The sequence below is a fragment of the Homo sapiens genome, chromosome 1 (genome assembly GCF_000001405.40).
Source record: "Homo sapiens chromosome 1, GRCh38.p14 Primary Assembly".
NCBI classification, from domain to species: Eukaryota; Metazoa; Chordata; class Mammalia; order Primates; family Hominidae; genus Homo; species Homo sapiens.
In genome coordinates, this window is record NC_000001.11 from 64,888,276 (window position 1) to 64,908,612 (window position 20,337).

At 40.6% G+C, this 20,337-nt stretch overlaps 1 protein-coding gene across 12 annotated transcripts in view, besides 2 other annotated features; it reads right to left on the bottom strand.

Moving 5' to 3' along the window:
• The window catches only part of JAK1 (Janus kinase 1), a 234,518-nt gene that overhangs the window by 55,047 nt on the left and 159,134 nt on the right, over positions 1–20,337 (bottom strand). The window contains exon 1 of one of the 12 annotated variants that reach the window (XM_047419674.1): positions 1,172–1,215. The exons of the other annotated variants lie outside the window; for them this stretch is intronic. The gene's annotated coding sequence lies outside the window, so the exon portion shown is untranslated. Of the gene's footprint in view, positions 1–1,171; positions 1,216–20,337 lie in introns of those variants that run through there. 12 annotated transcript variants of the gene reach the window in all.
• Positions 3,390–3,439: an enhancer, noted in NCBI's record as "active region_1133". NCBI's record gives its function as "activates an Ori minimal core promoter by ATAC-STARR-seq in GM12878 lymphoblastoid cells {active_cell/tissue: GM12878}" and the evidence as "EXISTENCE:reporter gene assay evidence [ECO:0000049][PMID:35858748]".
• Positions 7,421–7,490: an enhancer, noted in NCBI's record as "active region_1134". NCBI's record gives its function as "activates an Ori minimal core promoter by ATAC-STARR-seq in GM12878 lymphoblastoid cells {active_cell/tissue: GM12878}" and the evidence as "EXISTENCE:reporter gene assay evidence [ECO:0000049][PMID:35858748]".

Below are 20,337 nucleotides of genomic sequence, written 5' to 3' on the forward strand. Positions count from 1 at the left end.
GATTCAAGTGATTCTCATGCCTCAGCCTCCCGAGTAGCTGGGACTACAGGCATGCGCCACTACGTCCAGCTATTTTTTGTATTTTTAGTAGAGACAGGGTTTCACCATGTTGGCCAGGATGGTCTCGATCTCTTGACCTCGTGATCCGCCCGCCTCAGCCTCCCAAAGTGCTGGGATTACAGGCGTGAGCCACCACACCTGGCCAGAACTTAAAAAGTTTTTTAATATGCACTATCAGACCATGTGTTACTTCAACTTAGGAGTCATGGAACTTCTCTTAGCCTCATGTAAGATTCAAGGATCTGACTAAAATCACTAAGATTCTTTTAGAACTAGAATTCTACAAAAACCAGTAATCAAGGGGAGTTTGGTTTTCCAATCATTCTGTCTCTTCTGCAAGCAATACTACATTGCAATCACATTATACCTAATCTTCAAACTGACCTCCAGTATTATTGAACACAACAGTAAAATGGTATAGATTTGTGATGCTTAGCCTAGAGATTAAACTCTTCGAGAAAACAAGAACAGCAACAGAATTTCAAGACAATATGCATTAACTGTGATGCTTTTGAATGCCGATTCAATAACAACAAAATCTCTACTCTCAGGGAATTGCCATTCTGATGATAAAAATAGAAAACACCCACATAGCACTTAGAAGACATGGGAGGCACTGTTCTAAGCACTTTAAACCTAAGGCTGCTGATCCACTTTATATGAAATGACAACTGTCCTCATTCAGGATGACAAGCGGTTTTTTTGTGTGTGTGCTACAGCATTTGTGTAATGGCTTCATCCAAATAATATTTCTTCTAAAATAAACCAGACAATGTGATCTAGCTGATTATTTTTAGAGCAAGTAGAAAAGGAGCAAGATCAGTTTATATTAATAAACACTTTGGATAATTCCAAGAAATAAATTCAAGTTTCTTGCTGCAATATACAAAAGGAAAAATCATCAATGCTAGAAAGATTCACCAGGAGCAATCACAAAATACCCTTTAAAAAGAACATGATTCACTGGGTTCAATTCCCAACTCAAATGAATATAAAGACACTTAGAAAACAGGAAGGACCAGGAAGAGTAATCAGAAGGTTTTTGGTGATAGCAGTGAATTCTTCCACCCGAATTTATTTATAAAATTGTCAAGGATTTGAAAGAAAATACCTTTCTTTTGGTGACAGAGGATTACTTTTGTAGCTCAATTTTGTAGGTGCTGTTTTACATGAAAAAAAAATCAGGGAAATTTTGTGGGTTACTCAAATTGCTTCAGTTTACCACAGTCTTATAAAAAAGACAAGTATATCTGACACTTTCTCAACAAGGGAAAAAATAAAAGAAACAAGACACAATTCTGTGGGTTGGAACAAAGCCTCACTGCAATAGATAAAATGTCAGAAATTTTTCCAAGATGCAAAATTCCAGAAATCTATCTGAAAAAACTGGAACTCTCTTAAATTTTCAAGGGCATCTTTTGAAAGACTGGTATCTGCGCAAGGGAAGAACACACATTTTGGATAGTGGACAAGGAAATAAAAATAGACTATTTTAATGTTCATAAATATGATCATCAGAATGAGACCACTTTGGCCAAGGGCCACTGCCAGATTTTTACCGTTAAAAACAGACTGGTTGACAGTGAAACTCAATGACAAGAATTAAAATACTATGGATATAAAAGAAACCATCACACCTACAATGAATTACTTTGTGTTTGCCTTAAAGGAATCAAACCTTTTGATTTCTGAAGTAGAAAATACAACTAAAATGTTTATGAATTAAGGTATGAACTCAGAAAAACTGAAAGAAAAATATGTAATTTAGAAAATGCCCTGAAATCAGCTTCTTAATATCTTAAGAAATTTTAAGACTAAAAATCTTAAGCCTTAATCAACTATTTCAGCAGGCAGCAGTCTTAACGTTGGTAAGGAAACCTAACACAACAATGAAAACTACAGGAAGATCAGGATTTTTTTTTTTTGTCTTGTATTTAGTGCTTTATCCTCAGCACAAATTAGGTGATCAAGAAGTATGTTCGGTAACAGCTGTAAATGAAAGATGAAGGTACAAAGTAAGCAACATTATGCAATGAAAAAAAGCACAGTAATCCAAGGTGTGTAGGTTCCCACTAACTCTATACTAGCAAGTGTGACCATGAGCAAGTCATTTTCATCTAAGCCAGTTTCCCTACCCATTAACCTAAGAGGAAACATCCTGCCTAGAGGGTTGGTACAAGGATTAAAAATATCTTTCAGTGAGAAGTTGAGGCAGGAGAACTGCTTAAGCCCCAGGAGTTTGAGTCCAGCCTGGGCAATATGGCAAGATGTTGTCTCTTTTTAAAAACAAACAACTTTCAAAAACTCTTCATCAAGTACCTACAATGCCCTTTTTGCAAGAGGCTATAGATGTGTAAGTGTACAAAAAGGTATTGACGCAATATAAAATAGTCTTTATGGCACAGGACTAAAGTGGGCTATGAATCTGCTTCGAAGAGCAAAGTCTAAATAGGGATTCTGAGCAAAAGCCTAGATACAAATCAAAACCCCATTTCATAAAGCTCAGATGACACAGCAAAGCAGTTAAGAGCACGGGCTGGAGTCATTGCAACCTGGGTTTGAATTCTGGCGTCTCCACCGACTAGCTATTGTAATCTTAGGCAAGTTAGTTAATATCCCTAACCTTCAATGTTCTTGGTGTAAGTGGGGAGATAAAAATAGCATTTATCTCACTGGGCTATTAAGAGTTAAGTCAGTCAATGCATGTAAAATGCCCAACAGAGTTTAGCATGCAGTAAGCACTCATATTTTGACCATAATTTGTTAAACTGATTACAGCTTGATGAAATATACAGTTCCAGTCAAGGAAAAAAAAAACAATATCTACTAAGCATTTCAATATCTTGAGCCTGGAGTTAGGCACTCGCACTTAATTCTCATAAAAAGCATGAGAGGTTTTACGCTAATCAGCGAGAGTGCCAGGAGTCAAACACGTGACTACTGATTCTAAGGACCCTGCTCGTTCCACAGTGGGGAAGAACTGCTCTAAACTGTCCCCATCAGCAACACCACTGTCTTCTCTGGTTTTTTAGTACTTTTCATAGTCTAACAACCACCCAGGAGACTGATCTTACTCCAACACTCTTCCTTCTGTAGACTGAAAGGACTGTCATTTAAAAAATCACTGCATGGCCCCAGCCTTCCCTGTGTTCCTGCCCACTACTAATGCTCTGCCCTGGCACCACTGCCACAGTGTGAGAGGAAAGTCCTAGCAACATGTGAACAGGAAGCCTCCTAACAGCCTAACCTACACAACAAGCCAGGGAAACTGCCAGTGGCTTCACACCCATAGAGCCACCGAAAATGACTTGTATCTATTGCTACTGGGACCCCACTGCTATGCTGAGACGTGGAATAACAGTTCTGATGAAAGCATCACAAGATACTGTAAAGCTGATGGATTCCAGCCAAAAGGACGACATCATATAAATACAAAATCTGCTATTTTTCCTGTCAGGAAGTCAGAACTATGGCTTTTCTATATGCCACTCCTGCCACACAGAATAACTCACTTCTAACTATAGCAGCAATTCCAGGAATACCCCAGAACCGTAAGTGCTGCTTCATTTACAATAAACTAGGGATGATTAAATAATCAATGCCAGCTCAATGGTTCGGTGCTTCGCACTGCTCCCAAGGAGCCTGCATTCAGTGAGAGACAGTTTTTGATAAAAGTAAATACAGTACTTTGCTTAAAGTCAGTAAGTGTCTTTCTAAAAGCCACATTGTACCAAGAGACTTTGTTACTTTTCCTTTTCTAAAAAACTTTTTCTTCTTTTAAACTAATTACCACTAACACATCCATAATCTTATTAAAGAGCAATGAATATAAGATTTAGTGAAGCCATCCATATCCTTACCCCAGGGTCAAAGACTTGGTGGCACAAATGGACACTCAAAACATGGCGGGGTGGGGAGAATGGCTTGTCTTCATAGTATGTGCTTTTTTGGGGGGGATGGAGGGGGATGGAATCTCGCTCTGTCACCCACGCTGGAATATAGTGGCACAATCATGGCTCACTGCAGCCTTGACCTCCTGGGTTCAAGTGAACCTCCTGCCTCAGCCTCCCAAGAAGGTGGGATAACAGGTGCACACTACCACATTCAGTTAATTTTTGTTGTTGTTGTTTTTGGGAAAGGGGTCTCACTATGGTGCCCAAGGTGGTCTCATACTCCTGGGCTCAAGCAATCCTCCCATCTCAGCCTCCCAAATTGTTAAGGTTACAGGCATGAACCAACTCACCCAGGCACAATATGTGCTTTTTAATCATTTATCCCAAAAATACTTCTGAAGCACTTGTGCCATCACAATAAAACCTTGCATTTATATAGCACTTTATGGCTTAAAAAGGGCTTTCACATCTAAACCACATTCGAGTTTCACAGCCCCTTCAGATGGGAAGACTCGGCTAAGGCGTTCCCACAGTCAACTGGCCAGTGAGAGGTGAGATAGGTCTCAAACACATTTCTCAGCTGTAGCCTCACTCCCCTTTCCATTTACCACTCTGCCTTGGGCAAGGTGTGGGACTTCAGGGGAATCCAAAGAAGTAACACAAATACATCTGAGCATGCCAAAAATCTTACAATCTACTGACAGCTGGCAAGACTAACATATACACGGGAACCCCAGGGAAGAGGCTGTGAGGGCATGCTGAGAGACAGACACTGAGAACCATGGGAGTCAAAAACAGAGGACACAAGGGCCATGCTTTGGGCTGAGAGGGGATTAAGGAGAGAGGAATCTGCTCTCAGTTTTCAGAAATGGAGAAGACTGAAAAAGAGAGAGGAAAGGTACAGCTGTTCTTTAAAAAAAATAAAAATAAAGGCCAGGAAGAAGGAAAATCACAAGCACAATTGTGCAGGAAAGAGTATGCAGACAGGAAGAATCTTGCAGGAAAAAGGCAGACAGCAAGGAAAGGAGGGGAGGGTGCAAGAGGAACAGAGCTTGTGCGAGAGCTTCTTCCCACCAGTCAGAAAGAGGCCCATGTTCCAGCCCAGATCCACTAGGACCTGCCTGGTGTTGAGCAAGCCTCTTAACCTCTCTGAGCTCAAACCCTGCATAATGAAAAAGTATTGGATGCCCTCCAAAGTTCCTTATAGAAGCAGTTAAAAGCCTGCTCTTGGAGTCACCCTAACCTGGGTCCAGATCCCAGCTCTAACACCCACTGTCTGAGACCTTAGGCCAGTTTCTTAACCTCTGTTGAGTTTGTTTCCTCAGAATAATAGAAGTATCTACTTTACAGGGTTGTTGTGATGATGATTCAAGATTTCCCTAAATCTCTTAATGCTAAAATAAAATGCTCACACCCATTAGGAAATCAGTTTTCTGTGAGTATGCGCAAGGCTTTTAAAAAGCTTAAAACTGAAAAAAGAAACAAATAAAACAAACCCTAACTTATAAAAGTTTGAAACCATTTTGTACTGCACCTAACATAGCTCATTTTTTATTAACATGTATTTCCAAAATGTCACAATGTAAAGACATAGAATCTCCTGCTGATAAGTCATCTGACAAAGCTTGAAGGTACCCATAATTTAAAGGAATACAAAGGAAAACAACCCTGAATCCTTCCACCCCTTGCTAAATTTTACTATTTGTGTCTACCAAGCATTCACCTACTTCTTCTCACCTGTCACATACTAAGTTCATTTAGGGCAGACACAAATCTAACATGCTTCCTATATCCACTCAGTGTTCTTGGGTACAATCAACAGAAACCAGCTCTGCTTACCTAAGGGTAAAATGAGTTTAAGGGAAAGACAGAAGGACAGAGGAACAGCCTGATAAGGACACCACTGCTCGCACAGCCTCCACCGGTCACCAGCCATCACCAGGACTGGACTCCCAACTCTGCTGCTTCCATGAATGATCTCAAGCCACCTCTGTATGTTTGCACCACTCCCTCCAGATTCAAAGTCCTGACGAGGAGGAATCGAAGAGGTTGAACCTAGTTTGCCCTCAGTTATGTGTCTGCACCTCCTTCAGCTTCCACAGCAACAATGGGAGACCACTCTAGAAACAAAGGGGGTTCCAATGCTAGACAACCCCCCAAATGGCAAATGTCCATTTCAGTCTATGCACCAAAGGTACTCAGCTATTGCCTCAAAATGTAAGTTAGGAGAGAAAACAAAACAAAACGAGGCGGGGCACAATGGCTCACGCCTGTAATCCCAGCACTTTGGGACGCCAAGGTGGGCGGATCACTTGAGGTCAGGAGTTCGAAACCAGCCTGGCCAATATGGTGAAACCCCGTCTCTACTAAAAAAAACAAAAAACAAAAAACAAAAAAGGTTAGCCGGGCGTGGTGGTGGGTGCCTGTAATCCCAGCTACTCAGGAGGCTGAGGCAGGAGAATCGCTTGAACCCGGGAGGCAGAGGGTGCAGAGAGCAAAGATCATGCTGCTGCACTCTAGCCTAGGTGTCAGAGCAAGACTACGTCTCAAAAAACAAACAAAAAAAAACCAGGAAATCTCAAGAAAAATCTTTCTCTACATGGCCCCCCTACACTTGGCCCCCTCAACCAAAAAACTGTAACCAGTTTTTATGTTCAGCTTTGAAACTGCCCTGCCAACAAAGACTCCAATCTTAAACTGCTGGCAGAGCTCTCAGCGAACCCTATCCATATAATGAGTAATGCACTTAGTCTTCACCAAGGCGGCAGCAGCATCAGGGCAGAGCAGGATCGGCAGGTCACCACAGCGCCTCTGGAGCCACTGTGCCACCTCTCACTCCTCCCCAGTCTGCCCCAGTTTCCCCTAGCATTCAGCCAAGAATCCAGCTAGGGTTACACATCATTGTCTGATATCCTAGGAACCTATGCTGACAGCCATGCTTAAAACAGCTTTGCAGTCTTTTTTGACCATGATCCACCGTAAAAAATATATTTTGTAGTACACATGTGTGTATATGACATACAAGTTTCACAAAAAGATATTGATCCTTACTATGTGCCATTCCCTCTACCTTCTATTCTACATTTTCTTATATTTAATACATTTTTAAATGCTAAACAAGACCCACAAAACAGATTTCACAGCCCAGTAAAGATTAACAGACTACAGTTTGAAAAACACTGTTTTAAAGGACCCAACAAGGTTACTACTAATCAAATTTACCTTATTTTTGTTTTTATTTCAGCAAATATAAGAAAGTGAATATAAAACAGTGAGACATTCCCCAGCTGAATATGAAACAGTGAGACATATTTCACCTCAAACTTCTTTGGTTACCACAAGATTACTTCTCTTTTCTCACAATGTATAGCCTATGATGTTTCAATACAAACAGCTGGACTGAGACCCATACAACGCATATGCACAGTCTTCATTTCACAATAAGCTTCTCCTCCCAGAAAGCTCTTCAGTTGGTTACCTCCTACAGCCATATAATGGTACCACAAAGATCTAGAATATGTAGAAACTATACCCACAAAGCATGGAAGGTCTATTTTTAAAATTCTGCCAAACCACTCTTCTTACACATGACTTATTTTCTCACAGTCCCAGGTGTCTAACTTCATGATCACATCTAGGGATGCTTCGTACAACCAAAAGAATTCAAAATCCATTCTGTGTACCTTGCAACTGTGCAAAATTTTCAGTGTATTTCATGGAAACAACGGTTATCGTAAATGAAGAGTTCAGTGCATGCCTGTCAATGGGGAACTACTCGGGAACGGGGAAGCTATCCAAGTCTTGGAGATTTAGATGGTAGATGGGTATCCTGAAATAGGTTAGGAATCTTTAATTGTATTTCCCTATCAATGAATTGAAAACGGTGATCAGATGCAGTTATTCTTTCTCAAGATAAATGCTCCTTTTCCCACTCTGCACATAGGAAGGCAGTCTCAATGACACTTTTTTGCATCCTTGAAGCACAGTCCAGAGCATGCTTACATTCACAATTCTTTTACGAATAGCCCTTGTCTAACAGACAACACTTGAATTTAGCCAAACTGGCATCCATTTCAAAGTATCAAACTATTTAGTGGCAATGCCTGGTCATTCCACTTAATTTTTCTGTTGGTTTCTTTGCAGGGGATGGGATACACTACAGACTCCAGCCACGGAGCTTCTTTTGTCTTTCCTTCCCAGGAATAAAAGCATAGAAAAAGAAGACTGAAGGATAATTTGCAAGACTACTTAGCAATTAGTGGAGGCAAATATTATGGTAGGATGTAAATAACTAATTGGGCTAAATATAACTAGGAGAAATAACTCACTTGTTCCAGGACATCATTAATTAAGTAAAATCAACAAAAACGCATTGTGTAAAGCCTGCGATGCACAGCTCAGTAAGAAGAAAAGAAAACAACAAAAGATATATCGCCAAAGAAGAATTAGCAACCCAAGCACATAGCAAGGTAATAATACATGACTGATTGCCAAACACAGGACACACCCGACCAAGCGAAAAGAGCACGTCTGGAGAAGGTCTAAGAGTGGGGCTGGTGTAGTGAGTTTGATCGGATCCAGAGGACGGCAGGGAAAACCAGCATGGTGGGGTTGAATGTTCAGGCTCAGGAAAACCTCAGCCCTGCCACTTAGTAGCTGGCTTTGAATAATTTTTAACTTTCTATGACTGTTTTCTCATTTGCAAATAAGGATAATCATAATTATTTTACAGGCTTATTTTAAACTCTTGGAAAAATATATACATAAACACAGTAGGAAAACTGGCTCACAGCAGGCATGCAATACTACTACTATCACTACGAAGAAGGTGGGATACAAACAGGATGAAAACAGGAGCTGAGTGAGGACAACATTCCAAATAAGGGAAACATGAAGAAATAGCAAAAGAAGGAAAGTGGGGTTGGGCACGATGGCTCACGCCTGCAATCTCAGCCCTTTGGAAGGCCGAGGCGGGTGGATCACTTGAGGTCAGGACTTTGAGACCAGCCTGGCCAACATGGTGAAACCCTGTCCCTACTAAAAATACAAAAATTAGCCAGGTGTGGTGGTGAGCACCTGTAGTCCCAGCTACTTGGGAGGCTGAGGCAGGAGAATCGCTTAAACCAGAAGGTGGAGGTTGCAGTGAGCTGTGCCACTGCACTCCAGCCTGGGCAACAGAGCAAGACTGCATCCCAAAAGAAAAAGAGAAAAAAAAAGAAGAGGAGCAGGAGGACGAGGGAGGAGGAGGGGGGGAGGGGGAGGGGGGGAGGAGGAGGGGGGAGGGGGAGGGGGAGGGGGAGGGAGGAGGAGGAGGAGGAGGAGGAGGAGGAGGAGGAGGAGGAGGAGGAGGAGGAGGAGGAGGAAAGCCGGAGGGTAAGGCACTTGACTGAAGACTAAACAGGTTTGTGTAGAACCAAAAAAGATGAGGTAAGGAGGAAAACTGGGCCCAGGCTACAAATGCCCCCTAAGGAGTCTGGATTTTCTTCTGAGGGGATACTACCCAAGGAGAATGCAGATCCCCAGATTCATGTGAATTCCTCAAGTGGAAAGTCCCCAGTATGTGAAGGTGTGCTACGTGGGGTGGGGGTTCTCACACATAGGAAATGATGGGAAAGGCATGGGCATAGGACACCTGAAATTCAACTGTGTAAAAATAATGTCCTTCTTTTTAAAGATTCTTAATGAATCTGCTACTCTTTGATGGATATATAGGCACTGTACATTGAGAAAGGACAATAAAATTTAACTGAGCAAACAGTTCAAATACTGCTATGGGTAAGAGCTAATTTGAATATTCATTTGAGGGATCCATACCTTTGCCCCACCTCGCTATACACACATACAAAAAGGAAACTTCTTTAAAAAATAAAATAAAATGAGAAGCTAGAGGTTTTCTTGTGTAAATCATGATGTTAATGAGTCAGAAAGAACTTTCCCAAAGCTTGTCTTCCTGGTTGTCGCGTCTGGCTGGGACATCCACTAATAGCACTGGGAGAGTCAACATTCTGCTGCTGGTGACTCATCCTCCTCTGCTAGCACAGTCGGAGGGACCAGCAAGTTCACGGGGCTGCCCTTGGGAGTCACTCTGAATTATTTTTGTAACATCTTGTCCTTGGATAAAAGGGAATACAGAGTCAGAAACCAGAGGCCAGGAGGCCATCTATTACTCAGCAGAGTTGTTTACACAGCCCTGTTCCTCTATTATCCAGAATTCAGTGTTCTGGATAACTGATAAAATTAAGGCACCTATGTTTCCAGGGAGCTGAATACAGCAAATGCACAAAAGTCATGTTGGATGAAATTCTACCTTCCCTTGATGATTCAGAAGACCATATCAGACCTTCTCAGGCATGACTGCAGATGACAAAGAGATTATTAGAACCTGATTTTGACCCATTTCCATCTCACAAGCCTGTGAAATGTGGACTCAAGGGTGTGGGAGAACTTCAGTTAGCAAAATTTGCATAAATAGTTTCCTTCTACTGTCATCCAGTTAAACAGTCTCCAGGAGCTTGCATGAATGCTTTATCAGGTCACCAAGCTCTCTGATGTATGTCCAGCCAGGTGCTCCCTGAACATTTCTGGGCCTGGCCAAAACTGTGCTTGTTCAGTGCATTTCAGCTGTATATATAGCTAATAATTAGCAGCAGAAATGTGGCACAAACCCAAATCTCATGGATCCCACATTGCACCAAAATAAATATTAATGAAGGCACCTCTGCCTTTTTAGTCTTTCTCCAAATGAATTTTTAAAAAAGCAAAGTTGGCTTAACTGCTCATGACCATTGACTAATATAAAAATCAATAAAAAATCAATAATTATATACTTTTTACAATTTACAAAGCACTTTCAATACTTGATCTCAATCCTCACAATAATTTGAAGTATCATTCCTCTTATTCTACTCATAAGCAAACTAAAGCTTAGAAACACTAAGTGACTTGTGAAAGATCACATGTATTTATTACCTAGGACTCAAATCTAAGTCATTAGACAGCAAAGGAAATGGAAACAACTAATGGAAAAAGGACCTATAATCATGGTGAAAAGGTGAAATTTCAGTAAATTAAAATTGTTTATCTATCTAGTCAGTAAAGTTGGTGTTATACTTCTTTTTAAATGTAAATATAAGCCTGGATTAGGTAGAAGTATAAATTACTGTCACCTATAAACTATGGGTGACAACTCTAAAAATCATTTAGACTCATCATAAATGCACACATTCAACATTATAGAAAGATATCACTGAAAAGCCAAAGTTCCCCTCCCTCCTCCCAGAGATAGTCACTATTCAGTTTTTGGTAAGGCTGAGCAACCCAAATCAAAAAATCTGAAGTCTGAAATGCTCCAAAATATGACTTTTTGACTACCACATTTCTTGAAGGAAATGCTCATTGGAGGATTTTGAATTTTCAGATTTGGGATGCTCAATGGGTAAGCATAGTGCTAATATTATAAAATCCCAAAAATCTGAAATCTGAAAATTGTCTGGTCTCAAGCATTTCAGATAGGGGATACTCATCTGTACAACTCTCCCTGAGAACAATTTAGCTCCACTTTCAATTTGGACTTGAAGATTCTCCTATGTTTTGACACAAGAATCTTACAATATGGTAATGAAAAAATCAAATTGAAAAACAGCATGTATAGGATGATCCTAGCTATGATGCATAGACGCACACATGTAATCCTAAAGAAACGGTGACAAAATGGATGGGGAGGACATTACAAGAATAATTACCTGTGAGTATTCCAAGGTGTTTGTGATAGTAGTTACTTCATTTTGCACACTTTTAGAGATTTTCTAAGTGTTCTGCATCAAATATGTGTTACTACACTAATGAGGGGAGAAAAGTCATTCCCCCTGGGTTATACAGGAAATTAGGGCTGGGAGTAGGAATTCAGGAGAGCCAATTCACCTCTCTACCTGCTGCAATGGCTCAAGATTGACTAGCAATTCAAAGCAATTAAGAGATGTGACAAGGCAAAACATAATTATTTGTCATTGACTGATAGAGATATTAAGTGCTATGACTTCAGAGGACAAAGAGATCATTCTAGCATGGAATTATTCCAAAGGATTCATAAGTCAGAGATCTAAGAAGGTAAAGGGAACAGATGAGCTCCATTCTAGGTGAAGATAAAGGTGTAATCAAAGGTAACAGACATTAAATCACCAAGCGAGTTCTGGGGACAGTAAGCACAAGACTTAAGCATTTCATGAAGAGAAGAAAACAAGACTTAGAAGGCAGGCTGGGGTCAGACTGACATGAAGTGAGACAGCGAAGTGGACAGAGATCTTGGAGTCCTAGGAACTGCGACCATATCCACTTGGGGAGCAAGCCCTAATCGTTCTAACTCTGTTGTCTCTGTTCTAACTCTGTTGTCTCTACCCACTTATCTCCCAAATTACTGCAACAATCTCCTGAAAGTTTCTGCCTTCATTCTCGTCCGCTTCTATTCCAAGTCTCTACAATGCAGCCAGTCTTATTTCTAGACTGCTAATCTGGAAGTATCATGCTCTAAAACTCTTTTATTTCTTACTCTCTTAGGTGACATGGCTTACAAGGCTACTTGTAATCAACTTCTCATGGCTCATCCCCATTTGTGCCCTGAACTCCAAACGTACTGAGTTACCTGCAGTTCCTGTAATCCAGCATGACTTTGTCCTCCAAGCCTTTGCTGTCCCCACTCATCCTTCAGTTCCTAGCTCAGGAATCATCTCCATCAAGGTTTCCCTGACTTCTCCCATTTCCCAAGTGAGGCGTTCAGAGAGTCCTGTGCTTACCTTTGGAGTAGCACTTACATCCTGCTCCCTAACTGTCTGTAGAATCATCTGTCTTCGCTGTCTTTGAGCACCCTGAGGGCAGGGACTGCAGCTGTTATCTGGGTACATACAACACCAAATAACAATGCCTAAGGCATGCCAGATATTCAATAAATGTCTGTGTAAGAAGCAAATGTTTAAACATTTCCTTCCCCAGCATGCCTTCTCTGACTATCCCCACCTCCTTCCAGAAGTACTCACCTAATCCATGCAGACACCATAGACCAAGTGCATTTATAAAACTGTTTTATAATATTAAATGTGTAGTTTATATGCCTAACAGAATTGCGAGGAATTATTTAACTTCTTATTTTCTATTCTCTCCCATCATGGTACCCACGAAGAAGCCCACATGCTTACTCTTCTTTCTAATGGAACACCATGCCCTGAGATTTCCCAGTGTGCTGAGAGTTGCGTAGGCCTGGAAAGATAAAGAAAGTCTAATACAGTATGTCAAGTAAGGTCAGCCAGCAGGTGAAAAAACTCAAAAAACCAACCAGATGTTGGTTTCTGTTACAGAAGAATCATTGACAAACTGTGAACCAAAACTTAGACACAGTTTTAAAAGTATTCTCTTACTTATAATTATAATGCCCTATAATGACATTTAAATTTTTAACTTATTTTTTAGGTGCACAATTCAGTGGTTCTTAGTGTAATCTCAAAAGAGTGCAACCATCATCACTATCTACTTCCAGAACATTTCACCACCCCAAAAAGAAACCCCATGTCACTCTCCATTCTCCCCTATCGCATCCCCTAGCAACCACTGGTCTATTAGCCTAGTCTAGACATTTCATAGAAATTGAATCATATAATGTGTGTGTCTGGCTTCTTTCACCTACACAATGTCCTCAGGGGATCCATGCTGTAGCATGCACCAGTGCTTCATTCTTTTTGTGACCAAATAATACTCTATTGTATAGGGCATTTACGTTTTTTTAAATATTATTTTAGAGAAATAAAATAGGGATGATGATACTCCTTAATCTTAAAAATCACCATAAGAAGCCAAAATAATATTATCAGGGGTGTATTCTTTATCACAGTTTTCTAATTTAATCATTGTGAGGTCAATGGAGTCTTCACTTCCTCAAATGAGGAAACTGAGGCTCAAAGACATTACATAATTTGCCAAATGTCATTGTAGCTAGTAAGCAACAAAACCAGAACTGATGTGTATTTTACTCCCTTTAGTGCTCTTCTCAGCACGATACATTTCTAGAACTACTTCATGGTCCCAAACAGCCTCCTCAGCACTAAAGGGAGTAAAATCATCAGTCCTGTCATTTGTGCCATAGATGTTAAGACAGACAGCAGCATCTCTCTGTCAATCCGAGGATAAAGGATAGAGGGAAATGTTTCAACCCTTCACTCACCCACTTGCTCTCTCAACAAAGAGTTGTTGAAAAACCCCTATGTACTATGCCCTGCACAAGGATCTGAGTATATAACATGAGCACTGGGGACATGGTGCCTTTACTCATGAATTTGTGAGAGAGAGAGAGAGAGAGAGAGAGAGAGAGAGTGTGTGTGTGTGTGTGTGTGTGTGTGTTATGGCATGTTAAGATGGAAGAGACTTGAGAACATTTAAATAATAGGAAGAAGGGAGTTAAAGGATAAAGGTAAGGACAGGGAAAAGGATTAGCTACTAGCCAAAAGTCAGAAGAGGGGAGTGAATGGGCACCAGACCCCAATACGCAGTGGTGGAAGAGACAGCTGATTGTATGCCATTGTCCTTCCTCTTCTTCAACAGTAATTTTTAGCTGTGCACAAGAATGCTCACAATAGTGACTACAATTGCCAGCTTCCTTTGCGGCAAGATATGACCATGTGAGTAAGTTTGGCCAACAGGATAAAAGCAAAAGTACTGTGTGGCAGCTTCTACCCTGGAGACCACTGTAAGGTCTTTGCCCCGTTTTCTTAATTCCTTCTCCTATCTGCAGCCTAGAATATGGATGCTGCCAACATGGTTGGTAAGGACAAAGAGACAGAGTTTTGCTCTTGTCACCCAGGCTGGAGTGCAATGGCATGATCTCAGCTCACTGCAACCTCCACCTCCCAGGTTCAAGCGATTCTCCTGCCTCAGCCTTCCGAGTAGCTGGGATTACAGGCATGCACCACCACGCCTGGTTAATTTTTGCATTTTTAGTAGAGACGGGGTTTCACCATGTTGGCCATGCTGGTCTCGAACTCCTGACCTCAGGTGATCCACCGGCCTCGGCCTCCCAAAGTGCTGGGACTACAGGTGTAAGCCACCGCATCTGGCCCAAAGTCTGTAAACTTTTTATTACCTGCTCCAAAACTCACCCTAGCTAGCACATCAGCTGTAAAGAAAGCAGCCCTCATGGCATGGGGACAGAGGGAGCAGAGCAGGGACACAATGAAGACTGGAAATGTGTAATTCTCTGAGCCTGTTCAAGGTGAGCTTCTAATACAAATGAGACAATGAAAGATACTAGTATTGGTGAGAGGACAGGAAGCCTAGTGGATAAGTGCACAAGGTTTAGAATCACATACCTGGGTCCTAATTCTGGCTTTTCAGTCAGGAGGTATGTCAACTTAGACATGTCTCTAAATCTCTGAGCCTTAGCTCTTTTATCTACTAAAATGGGAATAATACTAGCTCCAATCTCTTAGTGCTGATAGCATCATAAAGTCTTTGCCAGGGATAAAACGACTATGTGGCTGCTGCAGTGACTATTACTGAAAGACACTTCTTGTCATGAAAGTTATGTTAACATAACCCAGCTGTGTTGTAATCCACACATCTGACACAGGGTCAGAAATAATGTCCAATCTATCTTTGTCCTATAGATTATCACAATCAAGCTCTAATTTGGGACCTCTCCATGGCACATTCCATGCTCTTAGGAAAGTTAATGACTTGACTACAAGTTCCTTGAGAGCAAAAACAAGATCATTCTCTCTGCAGCCTCAAGACATAGCTAGTTCAGTGCTCTGAATCTAACAGGTATATATTTGTTCAGTAACATTTACTGAGACACTACTATGTGTCAGGCACTGTATTAGACACTATGGTTCTAGTAAGGAACAAAAAAGACAAGGTTCTTTAATATAGAAACAGATATAATTTTTAAATATTGATTTAACGAATCAGAACCAGAAAATGTCACAGTCAGGAGTGACACAGTAATTGATTAATTCATTCAACCTGCTCATACTACATATGGGAACACAAACCAACAGAAATGAAGTATCGCATTCAATTTGAAGGTAAGAATTAAATTAGCATTCCCAAATTATGTTTTCTGGAATCTTGTACTTCTGTGCAATGATAGTAACTGTTCTATGTACATATCCTTCTAAAAAGAGAGAGAAGGAAAATGAGGGTCCATAGTGAAAAAATTGGAGAAACACTGGTTAAACATAGTTAAATAATATTTTTAACAGCAAGAGCTCTTAAGCCTTTCATAGTTAATAAATGCAGTGAGTCTCCAACTCCCAAAAAAATCATCAGACCAAGGCACTTCTTTTTTAATGGAATATACATTTGGAAAAGTCCGGATCAGATGTTCTCTATGCTCTCTTTCATTTCTCAAATTCTATAGATTTATCTGACAGCATCAATCTCAGAAGACTTTTCTTCTTGGGTAGATGACTTAATATACCAGATTCTCTAGAAAAGGCATTCATTCACATATATTCACATTCCCCACACACATATATACACACACACACACCCTATAAAATTGGATAAACACAAGCATGGGATAAAATCTAAGATTTCAATATAATAAGATTAGACTAAAACAGTGTTCATAAAAGTAGGGGAGAATGAGCCATTTTTGCAATTTTACCTTCAAGCAGATATTCCAGAAGGTAATGCCCGGAAAAAGTTATATTTACCTACTACTCAACAACCCAAACACCTGGGAAAAATCCTTGCAATTCTGATAAAACAGGTAGGCACAAAGAAAATAACCCAAAGAGGGAGAGAAAATATGGTCACCTAGGGAACAGTGGAGGCCCCTTTCCTCAACTCCCTCCCAAATGATCCTCTGCCTTTATTTGCCTCGGCCTTCTTGTTTTTTCCCCTTCAACCCACTTGATCTTCCTGTTCTCATCCCACATCTTTCTGCAAGTCTTCTCTAGGAGCTGGCTACAGGGTCTTCCCAGAACAGAGCCCACAGTTCAGGAAACCCTGCCTCATCTCCAGTGCGAGGACGGTGACAGAGAAGGGGCAGAGCAGACTGAGATGAAACAAGTTCAAACAGCTTACGAAAACCTGGGAATCCAAGCAGATATCTGTCCACAAAAGCAGACAACGTCAACTGTATCCGATTCACATTTAGAATGCATACATGTTTTTATAAATGTACATAGCTCTACATATGTCAAATATCAGTGTTAAATTTTTTTAGTATGAGAATCCTGTTAAAGGTAATAGCTCATGGATCCTACTGCTATATATATTTCTGGACTAATAAAGAAAGAAATAATCGTATTGAAAGCAGATATTGTACAGTAGGCCCCCTGTAAAATTTCCCAAATACCCTCCCTGTCTTCACTCCCTTAAATCCCACATTTACACATCTACACATTGGGAACCTCTGCCATATAACAAATTTGCACGCACCTCACCCAATCCCATAAAATAGACTTTCAGAAGAAAAATCAAGTGAAAAAGTGATTTATCCATGTAACCTCCCTTACTCCTATATTTAGTCATGCAATTAAGCACTAAGTTGTTTTTGATGTGTGTTTATGTGTACCTATCTCACATGATCCCTACAAACAACCTAAATGAGGAAAAGAGGTCAGGTTCCAGCATTCTCATTCTCAGAGGCCAGAGGGAGCTCCCCCACTTCTCAGTCTCCAAATGTCGGTGGCCCAAGGACTCAGGCCTCAATCTTCACTTTTTCTCTATCTACTGAAGTGATCTCACCCTGTTGCATGGTTCAAATGCCACATGCATGCCAACAATGTCCAAATTTCTATCTCAGAACTCCGATCTCAAATATCCAACTACCTTGGGAGGCCAAGGTGAGTGGATCACTTGAGGTCAGGAGTTCAAGATCAGCCTGACCAACACAGTGAAACCCCATCTCTACTAAAAATACAAAATTAGCTGGGCGTGGTGGTGCATGCCTGTAATCCCAGTTACTTGGGAGGCTGAGGCAGCAGAATTGTTTGAACCTGGGAGGCGGGAGCTGCAGTAAGCCAAGACTACACCATTGCTCTCCAGCCTGGGCAACAAAAGCAAAACTCCATCTCAAAAAAGAAAAAAAAAAAAAAATCCCAACTACCTCTTCAGCATCTCTACTTGGAAGTTAACAGGCATCCAAACCATCATCTATATAAAAAGCAACCTGGAATTCCCACACCATCAACACACACCTCCTCCCTCCTCCCCAGCATTCACTCTCTCAGTAAATGCCAGTATTCACCATGTTGTAGAAGCAAAACCCCCCAGCAGTCAGTCTTGACACATCTTTCTCTCACATCCCACATCTAAACCATCACCAATTCTATCAGCTTTAGCTTCAAAATATGTCCCATATCCCACGATTTCTCGCCACCTACACTGCTACTACGCCATTCTCAGTCACTATCATTGTCTTAACATAAGCATCAAGAAGGCAGGGCTGTGACAGTTTTGTTGTATCTGCAGTGTATGACAGACAAAGCTCAATAAGTGGTGAGTGAATACATAAATATTGACACAGAGAGGTGATATGACTCATAGAGCAAGTAAATGGCAAAAGCCAGGTCTTGAACCCAGATCTTTAGAAATATAGGGAAGGACTGTTTCTGCTATTCCACACTACCTCTTAAAGCTTTAAAGGAAAAACGGAGGAGTGTATACTACTACCTTTCATGCCAGTGCATGTTTTTCTTTTTCCTTTTACCACTATCTACCCACTAAATGCACATACTCAAAACTCCTTGTCCAGCAGACTTCTCTTAACAGTGAGGAGAAGCACAAAAAAAAAAAAAAGAATATTTATGGATCCAAAGTACAGTAAACTTTCCAGTAATGCCTTTATAACTGGGTTTGTTTTGGTAAAACTGTATTTGTAAAAAGAGAAAAGATGATAGGGAGGGGAACAATTCAGATGCTTCCACAGCCTAATTCCAGTTCTGAAATGAAAATAACAGTACATGGGGTTGGAAGTGGAGGTGTTTCTAAGACATGGAGATGTATGCATACGTTCTATCTAAATATACTTACATATTCCTCCTGGCATCCTTTAGGGAGGAATAGCTATTAGAAAATGAAAAGGCTGGGTTCTGAAAGGTTTTGATTCTGAAAGAGAGAATAACATTGTTCTAGCACAATAAACTTCTGGGCTTTTCTCAGACCTACAGCAAAGTAGAATTTAGAAAAAGTGCTGGACCCGTTAAAGGCTCTGCCATAATAAATCCTTTCACCTCCCTGAGCCCAGGTTCAATAAGACATACAAATAAGATATGTTTGGACACACAGCGGGGAACATCACACACTGGGGCCAATTGGAGGGTGAAGGGTGGGAGGAGGGAGAGGATCAGGAAAAATAACTAATGGGTGCTAGGCTTAATACCTGGGTGATGAAATAATATGTACAACAAACATGCATGGCACAAGTTTACCTATATAACAAACCTGCACATGTACCCCTGAACTTAAAGTTAAAAAAAACAAGATGTGTTATGAGTGTACCCTCAGCCCTGACATGCCAGGATCTCCCTAATTTTATAGGTGGAGCCCCTGAAAGGACACAGAAGTTACCTCCAAGTGTAATAAAACACATACTACTGAAACGCACATGTCTCTTTACTATCAAGTAATATGGACTACTAAAAAGCAAAGTAGACCCAGCTCACACCAAAACTGTATTCATTAATTGAAATACAATTATGACTCTTAACTCTGTTATTCTCACTAGCCTAAACACTTTTAAATCATATTTTTCGAATATGGAACTTGAGACATGCTCACAAGTGTATAGAGCATTGTACCATCTGTCCAAAAATGAAACTGGTAAAGAAAAAAAAGTGACAAAGTAGACTACTGACCTCCTTAACAGACAGAACATTTCAGACACTTTAGGAATACCCATTTATCTCTAAATAGTATTGGTAATATAAAGAGAAGTCAAGTCAGTACTGCTCAGGTTAGAACTTTAATGCACTAATCACAAGTAATTCTTATCAAATTCTTAAACATTAAACCTCTATTAAGCCATATATAAGGCTTATAAGGCTAGTTTTTCTGGTACTTACTCTCACGGCAGTGACCCTCTCAAAATGATGCATCTATTCAGCTCTATCCTTATTCATCTCAACATGATATGGGGCTCTCTACTGAGCCACCATTTCCACTTGTGCCATTCCTTTTTACATATTCTACTGTGCAGCTTTCAATATGTTCAGGCAAGTCTTCCTTCTCATTTGTTCCAATTAGTAAAAGTTTTACTACGTAGATTGAAAAATATATATATTAATTATGTTTTACTTAAATTAGTGCTTTTGGGAGAAGGTCCCAAAAACCCCAGAGCAGAAGCAGATGGTTAAGTCTTCTATCTTGCCTAGTCTTCAGGTTTTTATTCCTT